We start from the raw sequence: 21,021 nt of genomic DNA, 5'->3' as shown, positions 1-21,021 counted from the left end.
CTTACGCCACTCCCGATCTTTTTCTCAATTTTGATCTTTGCCAGGGAAGGTCAAGGATTGGGTGAGATTTCAAGAATGAGGTCAGGGAGGAATATATAATATATTGATATGATATATAATCTATTATCAAAATATTTAAAACTTTCCTATACTTCACTTTCACTGAAGCTTAATTTTCATGTTTTCACTTTTTTCTGGTGTATCTCATTTTATCAGCTCAAATGCAAAATTCTCAAAATCAAATATAATCATTTCCTCTCAGAATGAGCCATTATTTCCTAATTAATACAGAGCTTTGAAATGAATATAATCAAAGCATAGGCCTATACCATATCAATGTACAATGACCAAAGCCTGGTTGGCCTTTTAAAATGTTGACAAAAGTGTATCCCACAGTTGCAGATCTCATTTGACCTTATTCAAGTAATTTCCCCAAAAGTAACTTTATTTCTTTCATATGGTGACTATAGAGTACCACAAAATTAAGAATGAGGGTACAAGTTTTAACCCATATAAACCATTAACATGAAAACTACAGTAAAACTTACTGAATTTGAACTAAAGTAAAACTTACAGTAAAAATTCCCTGAATTTGTTTACTGTGAAAGAATGAAATAAAATCTGCTGGGAATGGGCTAATACATAAACAAATACATGTAGCTAGATAAGAATATTTATAATTACTTTTTAAACTATTGGGGAATATTCAAATTTAATGTGGATTTCCAATTACAACCGACATTTGTTATGACGAATGTGTGCTAGGGTATTTTTTTTTAATTTATTTATTTATTATTATTATACTTTAAGTTTTAGGGTACATGTGCACAATGTGCAGGTTAGTTACATATGTATACATGTGCCATGCTGGTGCGCTGCACCCACTAACTCGTCATGTAGCATTAGGTATATCTCCCAGTGCTATCCCTCCCCCCTCCCCCCACCCCACAACAGTCCCCAGAGTGTGATGTTCCCCTTCCTGTGTCCATGTGTTCTCATTGTTCAATTCCCACCTATGAGTGAGAATATGCGGTGTCTGGTTTTTTGTTCCTGTGATAGTTTACTGAGAATGATGATTTCCAATTTCATCCATGTCCCAACAAAGGACATGAACTCATCATTTTTTATGGCTGCATAGTATTCCATGGTGTATATGTGCCACATTTTCCTAATCCAGTCTATCATTGTTGGACATCCCAAATTGCAATTCTATCATTTGTGTATTCCCAAATAAAACCTTTGGCTTAGAGATTAGTCTTTACATTCTTATTTGATATTGATACAACAATGTCAGACACTCTGCAGTCTCATGTCACTTCAGGATTTCAGGAGATATGTGGTGGTGGTTGGTCGGGGGGTTCATTCCATAGTCTCTTTCTTGGCCTAAAATGCCACATCATCATTTTCTATTTCCACCCTACTGACATACATAAATATATATGTATATGTGTGTGTGTGTGTGTGTATATATACATACACACTAACTTAATTGTGGTAATCATTTCACTATATACATATACATATATATGTATGTATATAGTACACTATATATGTATGTATATAGTACACTATATATGTATGTATATAGTACACTATGTATGTATGTATATAGTACACTATGTATGTATGTATATAGTACACTATGTATGTATGTATATAGTACACTATGTATGTATGTATATAGTACACTATGTATGTATGTATATAGTACACTATGTATGTATGTATATAGTACACTATGTATGTATATAGTACACTATGTATGTATATAGTACACTATATGTATGTATATAGTACACTATATATGTATGTATATAGTACACTATATGTGTATGTATATAGTACACTATATGTGTATGTATATAGTACACTATATGTGTATGTATATAGTACACTATATGTGTATGTATATAGTACACTATATGTGTATGTATATAGTACACTATATGTGTATGTATATAGTACACTATATGTGTATGTATATAGTACACTATATGTGTATGTATATAGTACACTATATATGCATGTATATATGTACACTATATATGCGTGTATATAGTACACTATATATGCGTGTATATAGTACACTATATATGTGTATATATATATGTACACTATATATATGTATATATATAGTGAAATGATTACCACAATTAAGTTAGTTAACACATTTATCACCTCACCCATGATTAAGTTAGTTAACACATCTATCATCTCACCTAGTTATTTTTTTGTCTTTTGTCTTTTGGTGGGAACATTTAAGATCTAATTTCTTAGCAAATTTTAAGTATACAATACAGTATTGTTAACTATAGTCACCATTCTATATATTAGATCTACAAAACTTATAAATAAAAGTTTGTACTCTCTGAACAACATCTCCCCATTTTCCCCTCAATCACCAGGCCCTGATATATATATATATATACACACACACACACACACACACATACACACAATGATGGTATACATATATATATAATATATATATATACACACACATTGATATATAATATCAATAAATGATGGTGTGTATATATATTTACATATATATATATAATCATTTCTTTATCTGTTCATCTTGCTGATGAAGCAAACTTTTTATATATAGGGCCAAACAGTAAATGTTTCAGGCCTTGCAAGCTATACCATACCTATTACAACTACTCTACTTTGTCATTATAGCAGGAAAACAGCTATAATAGCGGTAAGTAAATGGGCATGGCTGTTTTCCAGTAAAGCTCAATTTACAAACACAGTCAGCAGGTAGGATTTGACCTGCCAGGCATAGTTTGCCAACCCTGATCAAGAACAGAAACTCATTGAGAAGGAAGATTATACCTGAATCTTCTTACACAGATAATTTGCCACCTTCCATTCATAGAAAACCGGTGATGTTTGTATAAAAATAAATAAGTGAAAAAAAGAATAAGTGAACTAATATGCTTCCACCTAATACATCTACACTTGTCTTTTAAAGTCAATTATCTGGTTTTCAGAGGACTTGATTGCATCTTTTAGAGTTTAGGTCTGTAAGCACACTTCCTCCTAGGTTTTCTACAAGTTATATTTAGTCTCTTTTTAATTTGATTTTCAAAACCTTGTCAGGGCTGAACCAGAAGTCTAAGAAAGCGCTGAGCCCTGGTGCCAGCCCTGACAAAGAAAGCTTTTGGATCTTGGGAAATCAGCTTCCATCAAGCCTTCAGAGATAACTCCAGCTCTAACCCGAAGGAAAACCAAGGAGTCCCACAAGTGACTTTCTCTACTTTTCCTAATGTGTACCACAGACACATGGAACTAAACTTTCTCTGGCAGCCTGGGACACCTTGGGGCTTAGAAAGCTCTCCTTGGTGTAGAATGGGCCAGGAAAGATTAAAGCACCTTCAGATTTTAAAAGGATGTGAATACCAACTAGGAGTGATAGAGCCAGCTATCCACAGACCCTGGTTCCTGGCCTCTCGTCATTGCATCAGCCTGCCTCACCTCCTCCTGTGGTTGTCTTTCCCATTTACAACCCCATCTATAATTTGAGTTGTTATTCAAGCCCTATGTTCAAAATCCCCAGAATCACAGGGCATCAGCCCTAGTCAATATCACCTCTTCATTCAATCCTGCAAGTGACCATGTGGCCTGAAGACCCCTGGGAACCAGGCCATCCCACTTGTTCTGAATCCACTAGTTTTCGTGTTAATATCCTCACCCCCAACTATGCACCAGCCACACTACAGCCAGGAGCAAGGATGACATTCAAACTGCCAGTCATGGTCTCCAGCCTTTTGTGGCTATTCCTGGCATTTTTTGGGCCCAGCTGCAGATGGATGACCCCCTCCCTGTGTCAATAAACCTAAGTAAAGGAAAGGCTTCAGGGTGTCTGTCTAGGAGCCTTTCTCCTAGCAAGATCGGCTGTCTCTTTGGTCTCTCTCATCTCCTCTCCTCATAGCTAAAAGAACAAAATCAGATTACAGTGCAATAGCTCTATCTCTATGTCACAAAGAATACACATCAAGGGTTATTATTATTTAGTTCTTTAAAAACTGTCATTTTCCAGTCAGAGCGGGGGCTTTTTTGATTCCCTACTTAAGACGAAAGCAACCTCTTTCTCTACTTTTCCTAATGTGTTCTTAAACTTTAATAAATGGTCCCTTTTATCAATTCCCTGGGAGTCTACACTCAATAAAATTCCAGCAGTGATTTATTGAACACTTACTGTATGCCAGCTGCAATACTAATGGCTTTACATATATCATAAGTTAATTCCTGCAACCCTACGAGACACCTACTATTACCTCTATTTTACAAATGAAGAGACTGTGGGCCAGAGAGTTAAGGCATTTGGTTTCATATTCCACAGCCTATAACTGGCTGAATTGGGTTTGAACTCTGGCTCTATAGAGCCCTCGTGCCTAATCCCATGGCCTCTCTACTTAACTCTGCCCTTTCCAATGAGTTTCTGGTAATATATTCAAGATTATTTGACTAGCTACTTTTTCATAACAGCACAAACTAAAAAACATATTTTTCCCAAAGGTTTTATGGCAAGACTTTTTTTATTTATTTGAATAAGTACCACCAGTCATCATTAACTGTTGTTTGCCCAAAAAAAGACCATTTTAACATTTATTAATAATATCAACAAGTAAATTATCTAAAGTTGTAACATACTTAAATAGTTAACATTCTTGATGATAATTATCACAATATGATGATATATGACAACCTGTGGTTATTAAGTAAACATGATGATTAGCTTGGGTCCTTAAATTGAATATTTCCTGAGCATAGTTTAGAATTCATAGACACAAAAAAATTCAAATATTTTCTTTCTAGGATGATGGGAAAGTCCTAAAATTAGATTGTGGTGTTGATCACACAACTCTAAATATACTAAAATTCATTGAATTATACACTCAAAATGGATGTGATGGTATGTAAATTATGTTCCAATAAAGCTGCTTTAAAAAATAAAAAAGAAAGGAAAATACAGCAGTAAAAAAAAAAAAAAAAAGCAATGAAGCTGAGGCTTCTAAAGATTACTCTCTTTCCTAATTCTCGCTTGTGGATGATGCCAGGCACCACTTTAAACAGGTAATAAGTGTCATTTTCACTCCATCTTCCAGCAGCCCTCTGGGCAGGTGTTCCTATCCCTGCCTGACAGATGGGAAGAAGAACATGCTGAAGTTTACCTAGACCTGAGAGAAGGAATCAGGAGGCAAAACCAGATTTCTCTGACTGGACTCCAAACACCATGCTGTCTCCTATAATTCCCTTAATTCTATATGTCCCTACTACACCTTATTTAAAATTAGATAATTAGTTCAAATCCTTGTCTACTTGGCATTTGAATGAGCAACCCCTAGAGAAACCAAAATGTGTTTGAAGTCTGGAGGAAGAGATAAGCAAATCAAAAATCTCAAAGAAACCCCAGAGGGTGTCTTTGTTCCCTCCCAGGGCTCCATTCCAGGGTGCACTGGGAGGGTGCTGTGTTGCTGCAAAGTCATCGTGAAAGGCTGCACCATCAGGGACCCTCAGTGGTGTCACCTCAGCCTAAGAAACACAGATCCCAAGCTGCTGATGCTGCAGTTTATGTAACAAATGCAATCTCCTCCTTAAAAACAGCAAATTCATGTCATCAGTGTATGTTTCATGCAGGGGTTGAGACCCTTCCCTAGGAACGTGTAGGCACAAGAACTCAAGAAACTGTCTTTTGACCTCTGTGTCCATTTACATTTGTTTTTCCCTCGGTTTGGAACACTCTCCCTAACCCTCTAAGTTGTGTGTCTTCAGTTCTCTCCTTCAAAGCCGTTGCCTTCAGGAAGACTTACTTGACTCTTGGGCAGTCCCAAGCTCCACTTACGGAGCCACTAAGTGCTACAGAGCTGGAAGTTCACTGCTGACAGCACTTAGCCGCTGCCATAGTAGATGTGAGCCTCATTGCCTAATGAGGAAGGAAACATGTCTGCCACATTCACTCCTGAATTCCCAACAGTTAGTCTAGCACAGGGAAAATAGTAGAAGCTCATTAAATAATCACTGAATGAGTGAAGAGCCTAACTTACTTGATACTCAAGATTTCAAATTTTAGTTTTGTTTGGTTTCAGAGAATGCAGTCATCTCTAAATTGTTTAATCTATGGGGGATGAATATATGCAAACAATTATAATGCCACGTGGTAAGTGCTATAACTGAGGCATATACGAGGTACGTTGGAAACATAAATTTGCCTCTATATTCACTTTAATTAAAATAAATAAGACTCATAATATGAACCAACTATGTAGTAGGGAAGATTTAGTAAGATAAAGACTCATTTAGTAAGATAAAGACATGCTACCAATACTTCATGATCCCAAGAAGAAAGATTCTGTACCGGTGTAATGAGCTGAGAAAGTAGCTCTATTACTGCATTAAAAATGTTTGGTTGGCTGGGTGCAGTGGCTCACACCTGTAATCCCAGCACTTTGGGAGGCCAGGGTAGAGGGATCACTTTGAGGCCAAGAGTTTGACATCAGCCTGGGCAACATAGCAACATCCCCCTCAATCTCTACAAAAAAATTTAAGAATTAGCTGGGTGTGGTGGCATGCACCTGTGGTCCCAGCTACTTAGGAGGCTAAGGCAGGAGGATCACTTGAGCCTAGGAGGTCCAGGCTGCAGTGAACCATGGTCCTGCCACTGCACTCCAGCCTGAGAGACAGAGTGAGGACCTTGTTGCAAAAAAAAAAAAAAAAAAAAAAAAAGTGTGGTTGTACAAATTCTAAAACTCACACATGCAAGGGTGAACTATTGACTATTGCTCCTAAAGAGCTCTCTCCCCACCCCAACTCAATCATCCAATCAACAGGATATTTGTTTTGGAAGAATAAATTTCTTGAGAGGGTATTTGGTTGGAAGTTACTGTGATGGAACTTTTTTAATCCTTGTGAAGATTCTCTTTCCAGGTCAGGCTTGTCCCGGAACATTGCTTTTTTCCCATAACATGGGGATGCTGTAAGGATGCTAAAAATTTATTGAGGTTCTGCTAGCCAAACATTCTCTCCCTTCAATCCAAACACATAATTCCAGAAACCCAGGAGTGAGTCCCTGTGAGAGGGTGCAGAAGGGAAGGTTGATTAGGGAGACTTAGGCAGGAACAAGAGTAAAATTTCTAGGGCATCTTTTATATGCCTGCCACCATATGAGCAGTATGACATGTATAGTTACGCTTCATCTTTAAACAACCCAATGAGGTTATGACTCTCATTTTACATGTGAAGACTACAACCCAGGTTAAGTATGCACAATTAATAAATGATGCATCTAGTATTTTATCTACGACCATTTAGACTCAGAGGCTTTCTTCCTCAGCCTATATCCTCCATGTATATCTCTTTTCCCCCTGAAATCTGCCAACAGGATTAACAAGAAGCAGACATGACTCTTCAATATAATTTTGACATTTTTCAGAAAAGTTACAGCAAAATGACATTTGAAAAGCATACACACAGACATTAAATAATACCAAAAGTTTAAAGCAAGCAGAATATTTTTGAAAATCATCTAGGCATTACATCACTACTTTCAGGAAAATAAAATAAAAAAACAAGCCAACTGGTTTATTCACTTTTCTAGGTGATCAGTTTACATCTCAAGCATATTGATTCTCATAACCACAGTACAAATATAATTGGTGTAACAGATTTATCGAGCATCTTAACTTAGAGTAAATGTCTTGTGAGCGTATGCATAATAGCTTTCTAGAAGAACTTCAATATCAGCCAAAGAAATAATCACTTACAGAGAAAAAAAGAAATACATTGAGCAATTCAGCCTAACTACTTTCAGGGTTTCCATGACAACCACAATTAGCATCATTAAAAAAAAAATGGATTTGCTGGTGCAGAATAGTAGTCAAATACATGTCTTCTAATTTATTTCTACCAATTAGAAATACAAAAAGATAATTGAAAACACTGCTTTGACTGCGCCCATGAATGTACTGCAGCATTTCTGAATGGGTGAGGCAAAAACATCATCAACATAAACAATAATGATTGTTTGGGACGACTCAGATAAATGTCCTCCAGAAATCTCATCTGAACACTTACCATCAACCCAAATCAATTACTCTATAGAATAAAGAAGAACGGACAAGGTCTTTGTTCCAAAAAGACCAAAAGGTAAAAAGGATTCCCTTGATAAACCTTCATTTTTGGCAGGGTGATCACTTCGAATTACAGAGGTTAACTAAAGGCAAATCAATAAGCTGGAGCTGTCACCATTTCATGATGAGGCCCATAAAAACTTTCTGATCGCCGTTTTCTCTTGGCTTTGCTTTTGAGAATGTGGAAATATGGCCACATCAATTCTGAGCATATAAACTTGGCTGTGATTACTGCCTGCCTTTGGCTGAGTCAGCATGAAGTCACAGCTCCAGAGTAATGGGATGTGACAGCCTCGGCCTTCCTGTCGGGCGGTTTTTGTCGCAATGCCCTCCACTGTTGGCAAATTGTGTACATCAGCCTTCTTTATTTGGTGCTATTATTTGAGGTTTCTTGCAAGTCACAAGTTGATTTGCTCCCCCAGTTTTTTCCTATGGGCAGGGAGGCAGCAACATTTCTATGTCATTTTGGTAATAATAACAGCTACTTTGTATTAATTACCCAACAGCATTTTGCAAGCATTCTCTCATTTACTCCTTACAACAATGCTGTGAGGAAGGTATTATGTTACATGTGCTCATGTTTCTGCTCAAGAGACCTCACTCCAGAGAAGTGACAACCCTGAATGCCACAGCCAGCCAGGGGCCATGAAAGGGTTTGAATCCTAGCAGCCTGGCTCAGGACTGGTACTGTAGCGAAGGTACTCCAGTTGCTGAGGTCAGAAACCCTAGTAATTCTCCAATCCAATAACTGTTGTTAACAGTGTGTATTCCATGCAAACTAAGGCATCTGCAGCATGTCTGTCTGAAATTTATTTTTTTGAGCAAGTATTGCCTTGAGAGGCAGAATGATGCAGTGGAAAGAACAGAGCCACAAGGACCTAGGTTGAAGCACTAGCTCTGTCACTCTCCTGCTCAATGACCTTGGGCAAGCCTCTGGACCTTTCTGAATCCAAGTTTCCTCAACTGTAATAGGAACCCCTGTAGAGCTGTAGGAAATTCTAGCAATGGCATATGTTACATACTTAACAGAGAATGGGTACTCTGAAAATGAAGTGGATAATGATTCTGAGTTTCTTAAAACCAGATCCTTCAGATTCATCTCTGACACCCCCTTACTGGCTGCCCCAACAAGTGAAGGTTTCCTGTTTGTTTGTTTTTTTTTAAACAAAATTCAAGTGGATTGTCTGTGTGCTCTGAAAGCTGCTAGTGGAGTAGACAAAAGGGTCTCTTTTCATTTTTAAGTGAGAAAAATCTTTCACAGACACCTTTATACAGAGTGTTATCAGGAAAGGTTTGCAATCCCAGAGAGCCTGTCATTTTCTAATGAGGAAATTTTACAGTCATGAAAAGGTCAACTTACATAAAACAAGATGGTTTGAGAAGGAAATTAAATGGTGTCTGAGCCACGACCACCAGGTTGTGCTTTGCCCAGCATGTGGAGGGTTGAGAAAGGGCTTTATGAGGCCTACAGAGAGCAACTAAGGAACCAAAATGGCACTGCTGGCAGCATTAGCTTAACTCTAAGGAAACAGGAGGGCTCTTTAGATCCTAATTTATTTAAGGAGATCCTGAAGAGGCCCTGGAAACAGCAGCGTGTGCTGCAATATTAAAAGGATGCTGCTGAGATTCCAGGTCCTAAAATTAGCTCATCAGACTAACCATCCTTTCCATGCCTCGGATTATCTTTCTGGAAGCTAAGGCTCTGGCTTATTTAAAAGTCTACTCTGTTTGCAATAAAGAGGCCCACGAGAAGCCAGGACACTCTGGACTCGCTTACCTACACAAGGGCTACACTTGTATTCTGTGAAATGAGGGGGCTGGCAGGGAAACTGCCTTTGCCTGTGATAGTGTCTTACGACTCAAGGCCTTTACTGGGGAAATGTGGATCCTGGATGTCTTGCAATCTATTCGCATTTTAAGCAAATGAAAACAGGAGCTTATGTCCAAGATCTCACCCTTCTTTTCTGAGTTTTAAAGTTTCAGGAGCTTGAAATTTAGCACAGTAATATTTCTGAAGTCTCCTGCACTCATTTAGAAATTGCATCTTTAATTTTAAAAAAGTCAAAATAACAACTCTGACATATGTTGGGTGTTAAATTATGTCAGTAACCTTGGAAATGTGGGAAGTTATATAAACCAAAAATGCATTTGGCAAATGTAATTAAAAACATTTAGTGCACATACATACACATGCATACACACATATATACACACATATACATACGCATACATGTATATATGTGTATGTACATGCACACTCATATGTACACACATACACACCTATGTGTATATGCATATAAACATGCATATAAACATGCCCATGCTTATATATACACACATGCCTACATATACACAGACACACAGACATCTACGTACATACATTTGTGCAGCTGCTCCCTGTGAGTGGCCTTGGTCAGTCATCACTGGTGCTATTAGCCAAACATCCATAAGTATTATGAGACAATATTCTGCATCATCACATTTCATCTAGTTGAAACCCAGATGGTTGTCAATGCAGAATGCTTTCTACCCAGGTGAAATCTGACTTTGTGTGATCCAGTCCTCTTTGAGACATCTGTTTCTGTCACCAAAGGCCTACAGTGATTTTTATCTAAAGTGAAGATTGAATAGAATAATATACAAGCAAAAGGACCATTGCTTTCTTTTTTTCTTTCTTTCCATCTCTAAGGGGATTTTCAAATAATCTTTTTCAGATCCTGGGTCTTAAGGAAAACAGTTTTGGAAATTGCACCTTTCAGTTTATGGCAGATGGTAAGAGTGGCTCCAAAGTTCAGATGTGCACTATACAACATGCAAATGGCAGGCACCTGCAAGCCAAGCATCTCCAGCAAGCAAGCATGTTCCTCACAAATGTCTAACCCTAATGAAGCTCTGTCATTTAGAAATATAGTTATTCCCAGCTGGGTATGGTGGCTCACCCCTATAATCCCAGCAGTTTGGGTGGCTGAGGCTGGTGGATCACCTGAGGTCAAGAGTTTGAGATCAGCCTGGCCAACATGGCAAAACCCCCATCTCTACCAAAAATACAAAATTAGCTAGGTGTGGTGGAGTGCGCCTATAGTCCCAACTACTTGGGAGGCTGAGGCGTGAGAATCACTTGAACCCCAGAGGCAGAGGTTGCAATGAGCCGAGATCGCACCGCTGCACTCCAGCCTGAGTGACAGAGTGAGACTCTCTCTCAAAATATATATATATATAGAAATATAGAAATATAATTATTGCCTCACAATGTTAATATGAATCATTACGAATAATTTTAGTCATTGTTTTCTTTTTTAATCACACTAAAATAACAACCACATAATATTTATAAAAGCAGCCAGCACAGACTTCCATCTCTCCTACCCAATTCTGACTGGGAAACTATTCTGACATTGGAAATTAGGGTCTAGGAAGTTGAAAGAAAAAGAAAACAAAATTCTGGCATGGGCATGAGGAACATTACAGAAATCTACCCCCAAGGACGGCAGCATTTTCCTTCTTCATTGCTAGTGGATATTCTGATTAGTGAGTACATTTATTTTCTTCTGTAATAATAATTATAGCATGCAAAGCATGTTTTCAGATTAAATAAACCTTATGGTCCACGCACTGAACAAGGTTGGAGTTTAATAGGACAAATATATAGAAAGAGATATACACATATGTACAGTTGGTAATATCAAGAAAAGGGTGCAAGTGTACTGGCATTTACAAACCTCTTCATTTTATCTCCTGAATTCTCTGTTGGCAGCATCATAATTCCTGCAGTAGCAACTATGACAGCCAAACAAAGGATTAAGGCTGTTTGTTGAAAAGCAGCAGCAGTTGAATTCATAAGCAAGAGAAATTCAATATACTTGTAAATGCCTCTCACAGTACAAAACAAGGAAGATAAGACATGGAGAAACAACTATTTATTGCTCTAAGATTACTTGAATTCTAAAAGCAAGGAAGGCTTTTTATTTGGTGTTTGGAAGGTGCCATCTTGGATTTTGACTACATACAGAACAATTCTTTGTGGTGTTCACATTTAATATATCATAAAAGAATATCAAAATGAGTTGTTGAAGACTGAAAAAAGAATATTCCACTCTTCTAACACAATTATTTTCAGTTTTGTTTGCTCTTTCTCAGTCATTTTCCTATTTTATACTTATTCTTTGCATAGCTATAAACATAGAACTGGTGAATTCTTGCAAACTACCTTATTTATGAGATCATAAATTTTGTTCAGATTTCTAAGAAGACTGTAAACATTATAAATAGCTGCATAATGTTATGTAGAATTCATAAATGGGATTGTCATTCTTAATTATTATTTAGCATTGGACATATAATTTGTTTCCAATTTATTCTTATAAATAATTCCACAATAAATATCTTCATACAAGCAGCTTTTTTCTTTGGCTGAATTATTTTCTCCACATAGTTTCCAAGGAGGTGAGATTCCTGGACCAACTGGCATAATACTTTTGTGCTTGATTGACAGAAGCATACTGTTTTCTTAAAATATTGTTCCAATTTACCTTGTCATCAGCCATGTGTGTACACAGGGTGCCCACTTCTACATTTTTCTGGTAGTTTGGACTTTTTAGGAGCAAAGTGGAGGAAGAAGGTAGAGTATGGAAGAAGAAAGTTTGCATGAAAGTATAATAGTGGATGTTCACTAAATGTTGGTTGGCAGAATGAATGGATAGATAATTACTTTTCAAATGCTCATCTTCCTTGGAAGAAAAAGTAGCCTAGAATAAAGCATTTGTCTAGCACAATGAGTGGTTCCATTTTTCTTCCAAAACTTGACTCAACAATACAGAAAGCAGTGGCTTCCTATTAGCTTAAAAGTAGAAATAAGATGCTCTTTTCAATATGATTTATATTATTATAATTGACCATGAACCGCCTTAATATCACTATCATAAGGACAACACACTTTTATCATCATTTCCAATCTTTAACTAAATCTATTTGTAAGGCAATTAGCTGTCTACTATTGATTGGCCATCTGTTTCCCCAGTAATTACATGAGCATATCACTTAGCAACGGGATGCACTCTTCTTTCATATTTTCATAAAATTACATGGTTATGGTTTTAAAGCAAGAAAATAATGAAGTCTTCTGTTATTATAAATACGTGTATAGTCACATGTTCTATACACATATATGTGAATGGGTGTGGCTGTCTGCTCCTTTCCTCCCTGCTGCTGTAGTAAACATGGCAACAAGGATATTTGCCTTCTTGGGATATCTCATAACAGCAACAGTAACTACCAGAGATTGAGGGCTCACTATTGACAAACACTGAAACTTGCCAGAACTTCATATACGATATTTCACTTAATCCTTCAGCAATCCAATAAGCTAGGTGTTTTTATATCTAACTAGGTAGTGTCATCTCATTTAAAGATAAAGAAACTGAGGCTTAGAGAGAGTGAGTAATTTCCCTAAGGTCATATAGAAAGGGACAGAAATGGGAGTTTAAACCAGAATTATCTGCTCAAAAGTCCATGTTTTTAGCTTCTGTGTCCTTTGAGCTTATCACAAAATTAGTTCATTTACTACTCAGGCAACTTGGTGTTTCATGAACAATTTTACTATTATTCCCATGGCTATGAAGAAGAGATTCCGCAGTGCCTCTGGCTTTCTCTCTGAATTCTGGCCTTACATAAGCAGCCCCATCTAGATTTTTCTCTGCTCCTCCTTCTCCCGTTCCCCCAGTGCCTGGCTAGGCACTCTGAGCTCAATTAGAGCCTGTTGGGACTGCTTTGAGTGCTGAGAAACCACCCAGCTCCTAGGTGGAATTTGATCTCCTTATCCAGGGAGTGTATTCATAAAATAACTAGTTATTAAGTTTACATACATACACTGATATTTTCACTGGCCTGCTTTATGCTGGACAGACACACCTGGGTGACCCACAAACATTTCAAATTCAAATGGTCTAAAGCTAAACTCACTCCTTTGTCTTCTGATCCTCTTTATATCCTCAGGCTCTCCCTCTCCCAGTGTCCCCTGTTTCTGTGAACAGGACTAGCAGAGACAGATAGATTCAGTAGCATCTGGTGAGTGCAATTTATCTATGATTTCTCTCTCTCATCCACCCACACACCCAGTTATTAAGCTAATTACCACTCCCATCCTTCCTCTTCCCTTCATCCCTAGGCCACCCTTATAAAAGTCCCCAAGCTGATATTCCTGCACCCACTCTTGGTTATGGCAATCTCTTCTGTGACAGCACTGCAGCAGGAAGGACCTTTCTAAAATCCAATGTCTGATCTTTTTCTCCCCTGCATAAATACTGTATGATCCCACAGCGTTCATAGAATTAACTTTCAATTCCTTTCTCAGGTTCACATGGCCCTTCATATCCGGCTTCTATACCTCTCCAGCCTCCTCTCCAGAGATGAATGAATCCCCTACATTCTAGCCACACTGCCTCTCTTCTGATTCCTCAGTTACAGCCTCTTGCCTCCAGGCCACTGCCCTGATGTTCCCCAGGCCTCCTTTGCCTAACTACCAGTTCTTTCCAGCTCAGTAACTTCTAACCTCTATCTATTTCAAAGCTCAATGCTGAAATTAGTGCCTCTAGAAAGCCCTTCTTGATGCTCTGGATCAGAATAAATGTCCATCTTAGGACATTTATTGCATTTGTCACACTATTTTGCAGTCACTTATTTACTTGTCACATTACCACCATCACTGTGGGGTGGGGCAGTTCATCTTGGTCATTATGGTATCTCTAGGTCCTAGGACCCAGAGTTAATGAAAGCTCCATTTGTCGAATGACAACTAATGGACTAAATAAATACTAATGATGAGAAATTGGGACCTGCAAAACAGTATATCTAGATTTGGACTTTTTTTTCTTGATTACAAATCATTAATTCTTCAGATCCCTTTCTTCATCTTGACCAGATCACATGGCTAAGAATTTGCAAATATTAGGTTGGTGCAAAAGTAATTGCAGTTTTTGCCATTACTTTTAATGGCAAAACCATGATTACTTTTGTATCAACCAAATAGTTCTTAGATTTGCAATGAGGAGAAGTGGTAGTATCAAGTGTGGATGAGCTCTGACAAGAAGAAGCATTAATGTCTTTGCTATAGTTTGGATATGGTTTGTTCGTCCGCACCAAAGCTCATGTTAAAATTTGATTCCCAATATAATGGTATTGGGAGGTGGGTCCTAGTGGGAGGTATTTGGGTCATGGAAGCAGATCCTTCATGAATGGCTTAGTGTTGTTCTTGTGGTAGTGAGAGAATTACTCTGGCAAGACAGGACTAGTTCTCAAAGGAATGCATTAGTTCCCTCAAGAGTGGGTTGTTGTAAAACCAGGACACACCTTGGGTTCAGTCCCTCTTCAGATGTGTCTGCTTCCCCTTTGTCCTTCTTCACCATGTTCTGATGCAGTACAAAAGCCCTCACCGAAAGCTGATCAGGTGCCAGTGCCATGCTTCTTGAACTTTCCAGCCTGCAGAACTGTAAGCTAAATACACCTCTTTTTTTTATAAATTACTCAGCCTCAGGTATTCTGTTATAGCAACACAAAATGGATTAAGACGGGTGTCTAACAATAATACACCCCAAAATACTTGCTTTAATAACCTTAAATACACAGCTAGTTAAGAAAGAGTATAAGTCATGGAGAGACATAGCTGCTGACACAAACTTCTCTACATAAACTCTTGCCTCCTACATGTACACTTACAGCAGGCTGTTCTCCCACTTGACTCTGCACTGGTGATGGAGGCTGTGGTGTAAATGAGCTCTCTCATTCACCAGCTGTTTGACCTTAGTCTATTCAGTTCAACAGAGGCAGCTGGGCCTCAGTCTTCTCATCTGTAAAATGGGTGATTGAACTGTCCTGACACTGACCCCTACAAAGTCTACTTCTGCCGTTTAATAAATAAAACCTTTCTTCTTCAGTGCTCTTCTCCAAGCCCTGTGATGTGGTTTGCTTCTGTGTCCCCACCTAAATCTCATGTCAAATTGTAATCCCCAATGTTGGAGGTGGGGTGTGGTGAGAGGTGATTGGATCATGGGTGTGGATTTCCCCCTTTCGTGCTGCTCTCATGAAAGGGTTCTCATGAGATCTGGTTGTTTAAAAGTGTGTGGCACCTCCCTGCCCCACTTCCTCCTGCTCTGCTCCCCCTTTGCCTTCCACCATGATTGTAAGTTTTCCTGAGGCCTCCCCAGAAGCTGAGCAGATGCCAGCATCATGATTCCTGTACAGCCTGTGGAACCATGAGTCAATTATACCTTTTTTCTTTATAAATTACCCAGTCTCACATATTTCTTTATAGCAGTGTAAGAACAGACTAATACACCTACCTCGAGCTCTTATAGCCTATTGCGTTTTTAAGTGCTGTTCTTCTTTGCCTGAAATATCCTCTTCTAGACTCCTTGCCAGGTAGCTCCTATTCTGCCTATGGTCTTGACTCAAGTGCCATGTCTTCCAGAAAGCCTTCGGTGATCTCTCTAGCTGGGCCAAGTGCTTCCCTGCACTGACATTTGTTACACTGTTCTCTGTTGTTGGTTTACTTCCATAAATCTCTGAGCCAGCTGTCAGTAATAACAATGATGAACATTCATGAGTGCTTACTATGTGCCAAGCACTCCCAAAATGCCTTCAATCTTCACCATAGTCCTATTAATAATCCCCACTTTACAATGAGCAAATTAGGCTTAGAAAAGATAATGTCTAAGTGAGTGACAAAAACTGGGCCTCAGACACCAGCTATCCAATTTCAGAGTCCAAATTTTTAGTCCTTATGCTATGTTATCTCTTTTTGAGAGAAAAATCTGTCTTATTTACTAATACATGCCCAGAACCGAGTAGGAGCTAAGTAAATGTTAGATAATTGGGTAAGTAGTTGAATGAATAAACAAGTGAATTAATGTATGTAGTCAAAGATGCAATAATAACACAATAAGAAGTGCAATAATAAAAATGAAATTAATTAATGCCAAACATTGAGATAATACAAAACTTGAAAAACTTATATAAGCATCATTATCATTATTTCTAGTCTACAATTTTTATGTCCTTTGCTGAAAAGGTTACTACCTTTTTATGATAGACCTTCCCAGACCTCTGTCTTCCTCCTACCTGAGCTGAAGTGCCTAACATAGAACCCAACACATAGTATGTGCTAATTAAATGTGAATCTTACTGAGCAAATGCCCTGAACAATCTTTCCTACGAGATGTCAAGTGTCACCCAAAGGGGCATTACATATGCAGTTACCAAGTCCTCAGGTACACTCTTATTTTGATTATGTCTCTGGGAGCATGGCTCAAAAGAGGAGCCATCACAGGGAGATGACGCCTTCACCTTCAGGCTGAAGAAAGAACAACCTAGGGCAACCTATTTATTAAGTTTATCCCACACTAGAAAATAGAAGACAGAGCAGGAAGAGCAGAAAGAAGAATAGAAGAAAGAGGAAGAGGTAAAGAAGGAGAAAGAGAAGAGAGAGAGGGGTAACAGGAAGAATAAGACAAGGAGTGAGAAAAGTAAGAGGAACAATAGGAGGAAGAGCTTAGGGTAAATGACGAAGAGGAGCAGAATAAAGAGCAGAAGCAGATGAAGGAGAAAACAAGCCTCCCCTCAGGTAATGCCTTCCTTGGCTTTGAGAGGGGTTATGTGGACTGTAGGAGAAGCCCGTGTCTAAGAACAGGAGGTCAGGGACCAGGGTGGCCTCTCATTACCTCAGAGGCCCCAAGAGAGTCATCTTTATGAAGATAAAGTGAAAGAGTTGTACTAGAAATTTAAAATATCTCTTCCAAGTCTGAAACATTAATGGTTCCACATAAAGCCCTGCTTTTAATTCTCTTAAATCTCGCCTGAAAAAAAAAATGTATATTACAGGTAGTTTCAACATCTTTTAGGCAATGTGAGAAAAGCTATTAGATTGGGATGGTTAATTTTATATGTTAACTTGAGTGGACCTGGGGTACCCAGACATTTGGGAGAACATTACTCTGGATAAGATTAACATTTGAATCAGTAGACTATGTAAAGCTGATGGCTTTCCCCACTGTGGTGGGCCTCAATTAGTTGAAGACCTGAAGAGAACAACAAATGTTGACCCTCCCACAAGTAAGAGGAAACTCCTGCCTGAGTGCCTGAGGTTGGACATCAATCTTTTTCTGCTTTTAAACATTGACTAAAACTTTGGCTCTTCTTGGGTCTTGGACCTTTGGCTTTCAGGTTAGAACTTATGTCATTGGCTCTTCTGGTTCTCAGGCCTTTGGACTTAAACAGGATCTAAACCATTTTCACTTCTGAATATCCAGCTTGCCCAAACTATAGATTCTGAGACTTCTTGGCCTCCATATTTCTTGAGACAATTCCTCATATTAAAGCGTGTGTGTGTGTGTGTGTGTGTGTGTGTGTGTGTGTGTGTGTATCTCCTGTGTGTTCTTTTTCTCTGGCGAACCCTGACCAATACACAGACTATTATAGAATACAGACTAACAAACCCTGACAATTGCCCTCCTTCTCTGCAATAATAATAATTCTCCAGCCAATTTTGTGGAGCTGATGATCTCCGTGAGAACTAGGGTTCAAGCTTTCTACATCATAGAGAACCCAGTGAGCTGCCTCTGAAATCACAGATAACCACAGCTCTTTTGGCACTCAAGTTAGAATTTCCAAAAATTCTAGGGCTCTATGCCACAAAAGCCTACTCTATGGCTCCTCAGTGTGATGCTCTGGATGGTTTCCAAATGCTGAACCTCCAAGTCTGCATCATGTCTCTCTCTTCTAATAGGTTGTTCAGAAGACATTATCCTTTTAAAACAACTGCCAAACTGATTAATGTAGCACTGTGTGTGTGTGTTTTTTTTCAGATAAATGCAGTGCAAATTATTAATCTTATTAATGAAAATATTTTGGGGTGTTCTTTGAGTAGTTTAATACTTTAATACCCTTTCTCACTTTCAGCATATCCTTAAAAAGAAAATAAAATTTTATTACCTAGAATTCTTTATTACGAACACATTGAAGACTTTCTATTACAAAAGATCTCAGGGAGAGGTGACATATAACATGTATATCCTATGAAAAAAAAAGAAAGAATTTTTTAAAATATAATGAGGTTATTCCCAAATACTTTTCAAAGGTTTGTAAAAGGCCTTGACTTTAATGTTGAAATGTGACAGAAGAATTATTTCTGATTACATGCTTTCCTTGCTATTTAACAGAGTTTAAATTGGATCACTGATCTAAAATATTCATTTTGAAAATTACTGTACCAAAAATTAAAAGATTAATAGTTGGTGCTTTCAACTGTGGTCTTTAGAGACAGCCAAATGGTATTAAAGCTTGTTCTTCATTGTCTTTTTGTTCTAAATAATATCTATTAGGATGATTAGTATCAATATTTAAATTAACCAAAGAGGCAATTTTAATTCTGTTCTTCTAAAATGAGAATGAATTAAATCTACAAGAAGTTTTTCATTCTAAAATTTTATGAAACATTTAAATGATGTCTTCTTCACTAAAGAAAAGTATTTTCAGGTATAGATTTAAGTGTAATTTTTGAAATAAGCTACATTCACAATTAACTTTTCATTTATTTTATTTGTCTTGGGAAGATTTAATTTTTGATATGTAATAATGGGGTAATAAAATATGTTCTAGGATTTATTATTTTTAAGAACAAATGGCAAACACAGCAATCCAGGATTTCTGGTCCTGGTTTAGGTGTATAAAGATTGCAACTCAATTGTTTCCACTTCTAAATAGTCTTCCATTTTCACAATCCAAAAGCAAGGGTTTAGGAATAGAACATATTACCCAAAGTCTCTACCCCACAAATGATTAGAACTAGAACTCAGTAAATGGTTAGCACTACAGTGGTATGTGAGCAACAGAAAAATACAGATCACAGCTAGTGGCAGTGGCTCATGTACGTAATCCCAGCATTCTGAGAGGCTGAGGCAAGAGGATCATTCGGGCCCAGTGAACTCCTGGGCAACATAGTGAGACCCTATCACTATAAAAAAATTTTTAAAAATTAGCCACGCATGGTAGCATGCATTTGTAGTCTCAGCTACTTTGGAGGCTGAGGTGGAAAGACCACCTGAACTCGGGACACAGAGGCTGCAATGAACCATGATTACTTCACTGCACTCCAGCCTGGACAACAGAGCAAAATCGCTTCTTTGGTACTAATCATCCTAATAGATATTATTTAGAACAGAATGACAAGGAAGAACAAATTTTAATACCATTTGGCCCTCACTACAGACCACAGTTGAAAGCATTAACTATTAATCTTTTAATTTTTTGTGAAGTAATTTTCAAAATGAATATTTTAGATCAGTGATCCAATTTAAACCTTGTTCAACAGCAAGAAAAGCATGTAACAAAAAAATAAAGATCACAAGTGAACCAAGGAAAAGGAGTAGCCCTTTCATAAAAGGGAATATATGCAAATGAAAATAAAAGTCAACAGTTAAACAGACTGCAAGATGATGGCTGATTCTATTAAAATAATAATTTGAGACTTGCGTCTTCATGGAAAGTGATGATCAGAATAGGTAGTGTCTACATGAATCTTAGAAGTCCATATTTAGTCATATGGAGATTCTGGGTATCTCCCGGAAAGCTGGATCCAATGTTACTGAACCTACAACTGGTCAAACCAACATTCTTACCTTGAAGGTCAGTGGACACAATGACTGGGGACTTTCTTATAAATCGGTTTATTAAACTACCAATCAATCTCTCTTGATTTACTATAAGCCAAATAAATAAGAATCACACACTACAGAATGACTTCCAATTTAGATTCACAGGTAGAATTTTAAGATGCTGTGGCAATAAGAACAGAGCTGAATTACAGCCTAAGAACTGTGTTTTGAGGATATGATCA

At 37.9% G+C, this 21,021-nt stretch overlaps 1 protein-coding gene across 11 annotated transcripts in view; it reads right to left on the bottom strand.

The window, feature by feature from the left end:
* The window catches only part of RFC3 (replication factor C subunit 3), a 159,229-nt gene that overhangs the window by 50,222 nt on the left and 87,986 nt on the right, over window positions 1-21,021 (bottom strand). For 3 of the 11 annotated variants that reach the window (XR_007063695.1, XM_017020680.3, XM_047430489.1), the window contains one exon: window positions 1-21,021. This exon is cut by the window's left edge; it is cut by the window's right edge. The exons of 7 other annotated variants lie outside the window; for them this stretch is intronic. The gene's annotated coding sequence lies outside the window, so the exon portion shown is untranslated. One more of the 11 variants, XM_047430490.1, reaches the window with a different exon arrangement.

Source organism: Homo sapiens, chromosome 13, assembly GCF_000001405.40.
Source record: "Homo sapiens chromosome 13, GRCh38.p14 Primary Assembly".
NCBI classification, from domain to species: Eukaryota; Metazoa; Chordata; class Mammalia; order Primates; family Hominidae; genus Homo; species Homo sapiens.
This window is presented reverse-complemented; position numbering and strand designations above follow the sequence as displayed.